Here is a 10,917-nt window from a genome sequence, read left to right as displayed (position 1 = left end):
CGTGCGTTACTAAAGACTGGCTCTGAATCCAAGAGTCCACAACCCAGCCCCCTCCTCCCTCAGACCCAGGGGTCCAGGCCCCCAGCTCCTCCTCCCTCAGACTCGAGACTCCAGGCCCCCAGATACTACTCCCTCAGACCCGGGAGTCCAGGCCCCCAACCCCTCCTCCCTCAGACTGAGGGGTCCAAGCCTCCAGACCCTCCTCCCTCAGACCCGGGAGTGCAGCCTCCCAGCCCCTCCTTCCTCAAACCCGGGAGTCCAGACCCCCAGCCCTCTCCTCCCTCAGACCCGGCAGTCCAGACTCCCAGCCCCTCCTCCCTCAGACCCAGGAGTCCAGGCCCCCAGCCCCCTCCTCCCTCAGACTGGGGAGTCAGGCCCCCACCCCGGGAAGTGAGATGCCCAGCGCTGGGTTCCTGCAGCACCTTTGCCTCTGGGCGGGACTCTGAGTCGGGGACCCCGGCCTCTGGAAGCCTTGGTGTGGTGAGGATTCTCCACGCCCCGCTGCCTGCCCTGCCACAGCGCATCAAGGAACCTGGACAGAATCGACGTGTTTATTATGAGGGTCGTGGGTGCGGGGTCTCAGAGGCCTGGCCGGGGCTGGGGCTGGGGCTGGAGTTGGGTCTGGGCTCACGCTCCAGGCTGGTGTTGGGCTCAAGGCTGGGCTTGGGCTCAGGCTCAGGGCTGGGCTCAGGATCTGGGCTGCCGTCCTCCTCCGGGTCTTCATCCCAGGGGAAGGTCGGCATCCCCCGCATCTGCTTGCGGTAGGCACGATCGAAGGCTTCGCTCTGGGCCACCGTGAAGTGGTTCTTCCAGTCGCCGCAGACCCCTGGAGAAGAGGGGGCACCAGGGGGTGAGGAGCCTCTGGGGAGCACTGCGCCCCTACCTCCAACATTCCAGCAACCTCCTTCCCCTTCCCGGCCTTTGGCGAGGTGTTCCCTTTGCCAGAAACACCGTCCTCCCTACCCTCCACATTGCCCCCTTTGTGTCCTATGGTGGCAGAGTCTTGGCCTGTCACCTGGCGCCGTTCTCACCTCCGCCCTCACTGCCTCTGCTACTGCAGGATTCCTGCCAGTCCTCCCCTTTATCCCGGACCCTTTAAGTCTCTGCCCAGAACCTCTGCCTCCAACCCTGAATTCCTGCCCACCTTACAGCTTGTGTCACCTCCTCTGCGACCAGTCCCAAACCTCCCCTGCTAGAACAAGGCCTCCTGTCTCAATGCCCCCACAACGCTCCATGCTGCAGCCATTACTGCTTGGACATGGAAGGGACCCCCTTCTGCAGGCTCTGTGCTCAGGGCTTGCAAACAATTTGCTGATTGGCGCAGCAAGCGAGCCTCAGGAACCCTCCAAGCCTCAGTTTTCCATTTTTTTTCTTTTTGAGATGGAGTCTCGCTCTGTCGCCCAGGCTGGAGTGCAGTGGTGTGATCACGGCTCACTGCAACCTCCGATTCAAGCGATTCTCCTGCCTCAGCCTCCCGAGTAACTGGGATTACAGGCACGCACCACCACGCCCGGCTAATTTTTATATTTTTAGTAGAGATGGCGTTTAACCATGTTGGCCAGGCTGGTCTCAAACTCCTGACCTCAGGTGGTCCACCTGCCTCGGCCTCCCAAAGTGCTGGGATTACAGGTGTGAGCCACGGCACCCCTCCCAAGCCTCAGTTTTCTCATTGTGGGGCTATCACAGGGGCATCACCCCTCACCTGGAAACCTGGGGCTCATGGCATTCAGAGGACCGTAGTTTGCCTTTTGGCAAGTGCACGTGCCCCATGTTACCCAGCACCCTTAATGAGGTTGTGGGGAGGGGTTCCCTGGGGTGGGCTGAATAAAGACTCCCTCCATATCCACGTCCTAATCCTTGGAACCTGTGAATATGTGACCTTATGTGGCAAAAGGGATTTTGCAGATAGGATTAAGCTAAAGATCTGGAGATGGGGAGAGGACCCTGAAGTATCTGGGTGGGCTCAGTGTCATCACCTGGGTCCCTATAGAAGGGAGGAGGGTCAGAGATTAGAAGATGCTTCACTTGGCCGGGCGCAGTGGCTCACACCTATAATCCCAGCACTTTGGGAGGAAGAGGCGGGTGGTCAGGAGATCGAGACCATCCTGGCTAACACGGTGAAAACCTGTCTCTACTAGAAATACAAAAAATTAGCCAGGCGTGGTGGTGGGTGCCTATAGTCACAGCTACTTGGGAGGCTGAGGCAGGAGAATTGCTTGAACCTGGGAGGCGGAGGTTGCAGTGAGCCGAGATCGCGCCATTGCACTCCAGCCTGGGCAACAAGAGTGAAACTCCGTCTCAAAAAAGAAAAAAGAAAAGGCCGGGCGCGGTGGCTCACGCCTGTAATCCCAGCACTTTGGGAGGCCGAGGCGGGTGGATCACAAGGTCAGGAGATTGAGACCATCCTGACCAACATGGTGAAACTCCATCTCTACTAAAAATACAAAAATTAACCTGACATGGTTTCAGGTGCCTGTAGTCTCAGCTACTTAAGGATGCTGAGGAAGGAGAATCACTTGAACCTGGGAGGTGGAGGTCGCAGTGAGCCGAGATCGCGCCACTGCAACCTCCAGCCAGCCTGGGCGACAGAGCGAGACTCTTTCAAAAAAAAAAAAAAAAAAAAGAGTAAACGTGTTTTGAGTCATGGAGTTTGCGGTGTTTTTGTTACAGCAGGAAGAGGAAACAACTATGCTACCGCCTGCGCCCCGTAACCCAGGGCTTGAGTATTTCTGCCGTGAACATGGCCGTCGAGGAGGACTCATGAAGACTCTAAATCTCTCTCGGGTAAACCTGGCGTTGGCAGTACTCCTGGATGTTTTGCTGTCGTTGGGAGTTCTCTGGATGGGGACGCCTCGGGTGGCTGGCACGTGTGCTGAGTCAGTGCTAAGCCCCGTGCGTGATCAACCCTGGGGCCACAGTGACCCTGTTCACCCAATGTTACAGCTGGGTGAGAAACTGAGGCCCAGAGAGGTTAAGTAACTCTCCCAGGTCACACAGCCGGGCAGTGGCCTAGTGGGCTCTGAACCCCAGAACCCCCGCACCTTTCCGGAGGAAGGCCCCGCGACGGTGGTCCAGCAGGCTGGGAGGCAGCAGCGTGTAGTTGGACATGGTGTTGGCCTTCATGGCGCTGAAGGTTGAGTGTGCCACGACGGAGCCCAGTGCCTCCTTGCCCAGCGGACGGCCCAGGAACCCACAGATGCGCTCCACGGAGCCCTGTAAGTCCTGCAGGCAGGGGAGAGGGGTCAGCGGAGGGAGGGCACTCGGCCAAGGAAGGAGCGTGGAACCTGGGATCCGCATGTCTGGGTCCTAACCTGGGGCTGCCTGAGGGACGCTGCCTCTTTGCCTCAGTTTCCCCAACTCCAAACTGAGGGGTTGGGCTATATCGCCTCTAAGGGTTTTTGCAGTTTCTGTCTTTGGAGGGTTCTCTAGGTGGGAGGGAATAGGTGGGCTTGGGGCAGAGGTCACAGCAGGGGGCAGAGGTCACAGCAGGGGGCAGAGGTCACAGCCGGGGGCAGAGGTCACAGTGGGGGGCAGAGGTCACATCCGGGGGCAGAGGTCAGTGCATCACCTTACCTGGAATCACCCTCCTTCAGGTTAGAGACAGGCATTGGCTGGTCTACATCTCAAACCTGCTCCTCCCCCAGGCCCCCATTGCAGGATGGCCCCACCATCCACCCAGGAGCCTGGCCTCCCTCTCTGGGTACCCCTCACCCCCAAAACCTGTCCATCATGAGCCCTGTCCCTCCCCACCTGCCTCCCCTTGCCATATCCCCTCCTCTGTGTCCCTGTAGCCTAGAACTGCTTAGGCCTCATCCTCCCCTTCCTGGATCCATGCCTCAGCAGCCGGCTGCTCCACAGCCTTCCTGCCTCCAGTCTCCATCCCCCTCCAGCTCATCCCCCACACCCCAGCTGACCCTGCTCCTCACTGGCTCCCAACTCTTCCGTGGCTCCCGAGTGCCCTGGGACACAGTCCCAGACCCAGACCCGGCTTTCAAGCACAGATGTGGGGCAGGTGCAGTGGCTCATGTCTGTAATCCCAGCACTTTGGGAGGCTGAGACAGGTGTCGGGAGTTCGAGACCAGTCTGGCCAACATGGTAAAACCCTGTTTCTACTAACAATACAAAAATTAGCTGGGTGTGGTGGCGGGCACCTGTAATCCCAGGTGCTCGGGAGACTGAGGCAGGAGAATCGTTTGAACTGGGAGGTGGAGTTTGCAGTGAGCCGAGATCTCACCACTATACTACAGCCTGGGTGGCAGAGTGAGACTCCATCTCAAAAAAAAAAAAAAAAACAACAAAAAAAAACCCAAAAAACAGATGTGGTCTGGTCACAGCTCTTCCAATACCTTTCCCACCCTCTCCTTCTGGGACTCACCATTCCCTACACATTCCTCCCTCTGGGCCTTGGCATGGGGCTTCCAGAAGGGCCCATTGCCACGGCTGCAGCTCAAATATCACCTTCCTTTCTGAGTGTCTACTATGTACCAAGCTCTGATCCAAGCCCCCCATACATTTGTGCCGATCCCACCATCAGCTTTGCAAGGGAAGTGTCATTATCTCAATTGGTAAACAGAGGCCCAGAGAGGGAGAGACACTTGTCCAAGGCCACACAGCCAGAGAGGAGCTCAGGTCCCTGGAGCCCTTAGTCCTCCCCTGTGCCCCTCTGCCTTTTTTTTTTTAGACGGAGTTTCGCTCTTTTTGTCCAGGCTGGAGTGCAATGGCATGATCTCGTCTCACCGCAACCTCTGCCTCCCGGGTTCAAGCGATTCTCCTGCCTCAGCTTCCCGAGTAGCTGGGATTACAGGCATGTGCCACCACGCCTGGCTAATTTTGTATTTTTAGTAAAGACAGGGTTTCTCCATGTTGGTCAGGGTAGTCTCGAACTCCCACCCTCGGGTGATCTGCTCACTTCGGCCTCCCAAAGTGCTGGGATTACAATGAGACTAAGCCTGGCTCTGTCACCCAGGCTGGAGTGCAGTGGTGCTATCTCAGCTTACTGCAACCTCCACCTCCTGGGTTCCAGTGATTCTCCTGCCTCAGCCTCCAAAGTAGCTGCTGGGATTATAGGCATGCACCACCATGCCTGGCTAATTTTTGTATTTTTAATAGAGACAGGATTTCACCACGTTGGCCAGGCTGATCTCGAACTCCTGACCTCAAGTGATCTGCCTGCCTCGGCCTCCCAAAGTGCTGGGATTACAGGCATGAGCCACCATGCCCGGCCATCACTACCTTCTGATATGCAGCACCCAGCATGGTCAGCCCTCTGGTCAGCTCCGCCAACCCCATGGCTCCGATTTTCCAGGTCACTCCTGGTTTCATAACCTTCCTTCTCTTTACCTTCTTGAACCACTGACGTGTCCCAGAAATTCTAACATGTGGGCGGCGCCTCACACCCAGGGGCAGCCCAGAAGCTGTTAGGCTCTGTGGCCCAGTTCTGGGTTTGGAGAAGAATGCTTGCTGGAAAAGAGGGGGAGGAGTAGCACCGACACCTCTTCTGGAGCTTTCCATTAAAAGAAAGTTACCAGGTTGGGAAAAAATAAACATGGAGTCTGCAGGCAAGAGCCATGTGCCCTGGGCAAATTATCAACCCTCTCTTAAGTTACAAACCTCCAGTTTCCTCGTCGATAAAATAGGGATAATAACAACATTTGGGAAAACCATATAAAATTACCTTTTTGTTTTTGTTTTTGTTTTTCTGGAGACAGAGTCTTGCTCTATAACCCAGCTGGAGTGCAATGGTGCGATCTTGGCTCACCGCAACCTCCAGCTCCCAGGTTCAAGCGATTCTCCTGCCTCAGCCTCCCGAGTAGCTGGGGCTACAGGCGCCCGCCACCATGGCCGCCTAATTTTTTTGTATTTTTAGCAGAGACGGGGTTTCACCATGTTGGCAAGGCTGGTCTGGAACTCCTGAGCTCAGGTGATCTGCCTACCTCGGCCTCCCAAAGTGTTGGGATTACAGGCGTGAGCCACCGTGCCCAGCCAAAATTACCATCTTAAAATAAAAACTAGTTGGCGGGGCCGACCAGTTATATAAATATATAACTGGTCCAAATATAAAAACTTTGGGAGGCCGAGGTGGGTGGATCACCTGAGGTCAGGAGTTCAAGACCAGCCTGACCAACATGGAGAAACCCCGTCTCTACTAAAAATGCAAAATTAGCCGGGCGTGGTGGCGCATGCCTGTAATCCCAGCTGCTTGGGAGGCTGAGGCAGGAGAATTGCTTGAACGTGGGAGTTGGAGGTTGCGGTGAGCCGAGATCATGCCATTGCACTCCATCCTGGGCCACAAGAGCGAAACTCTGTCTCAAAAATAAATAAATTAATTAAATAAAATAAATAAAAATAAATAAAAACTGGTTGAATGCAGGCATTTCATGTGGTTCAATCTTTTTTCTTTCTATTTTTTGGAACAAGGTCTTGCTCTGTCGCCCAGGCTGGAGTGCAGTGGTGTGATCTCAGCCCACTGCAACCTCCACCTCCCAGGTTCAAGCCATTCTCCTGCCTTAGCCTCCTGAGCAGCTGGGACTACAGGCATGTGCCACTGTGCCCGGCTAATTTTTGTATTTTTAGTAGAGATGGGGTTTCACCATGTTGGCCAGGCTGGTCTTGAACTCCTGACCTGAAGTGATCCACCTGCCTTGGGCTCCCAAAGTGCTGGGATTACAGGTGTGAACCACCACACCTGGCCTTCTCTCTCTCTTTTGAGACAGGGTTTTGCTCTGCTGCCCAGGCCGGAGTACAGTGGCACCATCATAGCTCATTGTGGCCTTGACCTCTTGGGCTCAAGGGGTCCTCCCGCCTCAGGCTCCCAAAGCATTAGGATTACAGGTGTGAGCCACTACCACTGTGTCCGGCCAACCCTCCTGGGTTAAATCTCGCCCCTGACCATTCCTTATCTTCCTTCCCACTCGCCTTTGCTCCTCAGCTCCTCTGCCCCGCCAGCCTGCTGTGTGGTTTAGGGATTTTGTCTGTGGTCTTGCTCACAGGCTCAGGGCCTCTGTTCTGTTCCTGCAGTATCCCCAGGGGCTGGCGCATTGCATGGGGAAGCGGAGGGGTCCTGAGACCCTCGGGAAGGGGAGAGTGTGGGGTGTGAGCAGAGGGTATGGGGGGGACGCTGCACCTGGAGGAGGTGGGGACTCACCTGCTGCAGCTCCTCGTAGGTGATAAATAGGAAGTTGTCTTTGCCCTTCATCCGAAGCCAGCCCTTAATGTGGTCGAACCAGGAGCCAAACTGCACTGTGGGCAGAGGGACAAGTGGGGTGAGGGCTGAGTGGCGGGGTTCCCCCAGCCCCACTGGGGCTCATGGGTCTAACTAGCTGTGCCCCACAAACCCCCAGGTCCAGCCCCCAGAGCTGGATGCCCTCCCCCAGAGCCCCCACATTTCCACCAAGTTCTGGGGCTCTTCCAACCTGCTTCTCCCCTGGTTGCCCATCTTGGGGGGCCTTTGTCTATCTGTCCATCCAGTCCGCCTCCACACACCTGGATTTCCCTCCAAAGCCAGGGTCTCTGACAGCAGCAGAGAAAGGAACACGTGGCCAAAGGGCGCTGCCTTTCTTAGTACCAGGGGCCTGTCTCCTCCTGTTTCCTTGTCTCTCCCTGTCTCTCTCTGACTCCATCTCTCTTTCTGCATTTATTTCCTTATCTCTTTTTATTTTTTATTTTTTTTGAGACGGAGTCTCACTCTGTCGCCCAGGCTGGAGTGCAGTGGCACGATCTTGGCTCACTGCAAGCTCCACCTCCCAAGTTCAAGCCATTCTCCTGTCTCAGCCTCCCAAGTAGCTGGGACTACAGGCACCGCCACCACACCCGGCTAATTTTTTGTATTTTTAGTAGAGACGGGGTTTCACCATGTTAGCCAGGATGGTCTCAATCTCCTGACCTTGTGATCCGCCTGCCTCAGCCTCCCAAAGTGCTGGGATTACACGCATGAGCCACCATGCCGGGCCCCTGTCTCTTTTGTTGCCCTCTCTCTCAGTCTTTTTGTATCTGTGTCTCTCCCTGTCTCTGTCTCCTCTGTCCTTTGCCTGTCCTGTGTCTTTCGGTCTCTCAGCCTCTCTCCCTCCGTCTCTTCTCCTGGCCACCTGCTCTCTGTCTCTATTGCCCCTTTTGATGCCCTGTGTCTCTGTCTCTCTCCCTTTCTTACCCCTCCTCTGTCCCTCTGCCCATCAGGGTCCTCTGGGGCTCCTCCCCACCCCTCCTGCCCCGCTTTACCCTGTCCCCACCTTCGCCTTTGAGGAAGTCCCTCAGGAACTGGTCGGGTGTGCCCGGGTCCTTTAACTGCCCGGCGATCTTGGAGTAATGATAGAGGGAGACCACAACGTCCCGGGGGTTGCGGCCCATGTAGATCACCTGTGTGCGGATGGTGAGGAGAGGGGAGAAGGCGTCAGACACAGGCAAGACCCCAGCCCCTGAGGCCTCCTGCCCTGGAGACCCCTCTCTTCTGACCCTGAAGCAGGAAGGACTCAGGGCAGACTCTTTTTTTTTTGCGATGGAGTCTGACTCTGTTTCGCCCAGGCTGGAGTGCAGTGGCGCCATCTCAGCTCATTGCAACCTCTGCCTCCTGGGTTCAGGCGATTCTCCTGTGTCAGCCTCCTGAGTAGCTGGGACTACAGGAGCGTGCCACCACATCAGGATAATTTTTGTATGTTTAGTAGAGATGGGGTTTTACCATGTTGGTTACTCACAGATTGAGGAACCCCTTGAGGACAGGCAAGGTCTTACACGTTCCTAGAGCCTTAGCCCAGAGCCCCACACACAGGAGGTTCTGGAAATTGCTTGAGGGAATGACAAAGGCATAAAGGGAGGGAGGCTGAGAAAGAACACTTGGCCAGCTGCGGTGGCTCATGTCTGTAATCCCAGCACTTTGGGAGGACGAGACAGGAGGATAACTTGAACCCAGGAGTTTGAGACCAGCCTGGACAACATAATGAGACCCCCATTCTACAAAGAATACAAAAATTAGCTGATGTGGTGGTGCGTGCCCGTGGTCCCAGCTACTCGGGAGGCTAAGGCAGGAGGATCACTTGAGCCCGGGAGGTCGAGGCTGCAGTGAGCTGTGATCACACCACTGCACTCCAGCCTACATGACAGAACGAGACCCTGCCTCAAAAACAAATAAACCAAAAAACAAAACAAAACACCCCCAGATCCACCAAAAACTAAATGAAAACAGACTTAGAGAAACGTGGCTGCTGGTGTGAGGTCTTGTAATAACATTGGTGCTTTCCAGGGCTCCTTCCTGATTCCTGTGCTGTAGAGGATTCCTTTCTGCCCAGAGAAAGGCCTGGCCCTTGCCCCTAGGTCCTGAGAGGTATTTCCTAATCCCTTGGATTTTTTTGTTTTGTTTTGTTTTGTTTTAGACGAAGTCTCGCTGTGTCTCCCAGGCTGGAGTGCAGTGGCACGATCTCAGCTCACTGCAACCTCTGCCTCCCAGGTTCAAGCAATTCTCCTGCCTCAGCCTCCCGAGTAGCTGGGACTACAGGTGGGTGCCACCATGCCTGGCTAATTTTTGTATTTTTAGTAGAGACGGGTTTTCACCATGTTGGCCAGGCTGGTCTCAAACTCCCGGCCTCAAGTGATCCATCTGCTTCGGCCTCCCCAAGTGCTGGGATTACAGGCATGAGCCACCATGCCCAGCCTAGTCTTATTTTTTAGAAACAAGGTCTTGTCGGCCAGGCACTGTGGCTCACACCTGTAATCCCAACACTTTGGGAGGCTAAGGCGGGTGGATCACCTGAGGTCAGGTGTTCGAGACCAGCCTGGTCAACATGGTGAAACCCCGTCTCTACTGAAAATACAAAAAATTAGCTGGGCATGGTGGTGGGCGCCTGTAATCCCAGCTATTTGGGAGGCTGAGGCAAGAGAATCGCTTGAACCCTGGAGGCAGAGGGGCAGAGGTTGCAGTGAGCCAAGATCGTGCCATTGCACTCCAGCCTGGGCAACAAGAGGGAAACTCTGTCTCAAAAAAAGAAAAAAGAAAGAAAAAGAAAAAAGAAAAGAAACAAGGTCTTGTTCTGTCCTTGAGGCTGGAGTGCCTGTGGCACAATCATGGCTCACTGCAGCCTGAAACTCCCAGGCTCAAGTGATCTTCCTACCTCAGCCTCCCAAGTAGCTGGGACTACAGGTGTATGCCACTACACGTGACGAATTTTTAAACTTTTTTGTAGAGATGGGTGTTTCTAAGTTGCCCAGCTGGTCTTGAACTCCTGGGCTCAATCAACTGCTCACCTTGGCCTCTGAAAGTGCTGGGATTTCAGGCGTGAGCCACCGCGCCCGGCCCCCTTGCCTGATTTTCACGTTTGCTTTCATTGTAATTGACTATAACCCGGGAGTCCAGCAGCTTTGCTGAACACTATGAGTTTTGCTAAGTCGTTGAGCCTGAGGGTGGTCTTGGGGACTTCCTGATTGCAGCCCCCCCTCTCTGCTCTGTCCACGCTCAATTCCTTGGCGATATCACCCAGTCCTGGAGCTTCGATTAATTACAGAATATATGTGCCAAGGAATTGCAAATGGACGTGTCAGCCCAAGTCTCTCCCCTCAGATCCCGATGGGTGCATTTCTGTGCCCACCGGCAGCCTCTGCTGGACGTGGGATGGGCCGCCGCAGAGCCCGTGTCTTCCTCCCCCGCCTGCTCCCCTCCCTCCTCCCCTTCCCAGTTGCCCCACCCTGACAGTTGCTTCCGCCGAAACCTTGGAGTCACCCTTGACTCATCCCCTTCTCTCACACCCACATCCAGTCTGTCAGCAAATCCTCCCGGTCTCACCTTCAAAATACCTCCGTGACCATCACCCTAGTCCAGCCACCGTCCCCTCCCCTGGACCCCGGCCAGCGCCGCCTCTCGGGCTTCCCGGCTTCTGCTCTCTCGACAGTCGGTCCCCATCTGACCGCCAGAGGGCGCCGGTGAAGCCTAAGCCC

At 55.5% G+C, this 10,917-nt stretch overlaps 1 protein-coding gene across 2 annotated transcripts in view, besides 1 other annotated feature; it reads right to left on the bottom strand.

The window, feature by feature from the left end:
* SULT2B1 (sulfotransferase family 2B member 1) overlaps positions 534–10,917 on the bottom strand; it is a 47,256-nt gene continuing 36,872 nt past the window's right edge. The window contains exons 3-6 of one of the 2 annotated variants that reach the window (NM_004605.2): positions 8,226–8,352; positions 7,145–7,239; positions 3,042–3,222; positions 534–826 (exon numbers count right to left, since the gene is read on the bottom strand). In NM_004605.2, the coding sequence (NP_004596.2) occupies positions 555–826; positions 3,042–3,222; positions 7,145–7,239; positions 8,226–8,352 (675 nt within the window). In that variant the 3' untranslated portion in view covers positions 534–554. The remainder of the gene's footprint in view (positions 827–3,041; positions 3,223–7,144; positions 7,240–8,225; positions 8,353–10,917) is intronic. The other variant, NM_177973.2, reaches the window with a different exon arrangement.
* Positions 10,744–10,793: an enhancer, noted in NCBI's record as "active region_14898". NCBI's record gives its function as "activates an Ori minimal core promoter by ATAC-STARR-seq in GM12878 lymphoblastoid cells {active_cell/tissue: GM12878}" and the evidence as "EXISTENCE:reporter gene assay evidence [ECO:0000049][PMID:35858748]".

The sequence above is a fragment of the Homo sapiens genome, chromosome 19 (assembly GCF_000001405.40).
Source record: "Homo sapiens chromosome 19, GRCh38.p14 Primary Assembly".
NCBI classification, from domain to species: Eukaryota; Metazoa; Chordata; class Mammalia; order Primates; family Hominidae; genus Homo; species Homo sapiens.
Note: the sequence above shows the minus strand (reverse complement) of the source record. Positions and strands in the feature narration are given on the sequence as shown.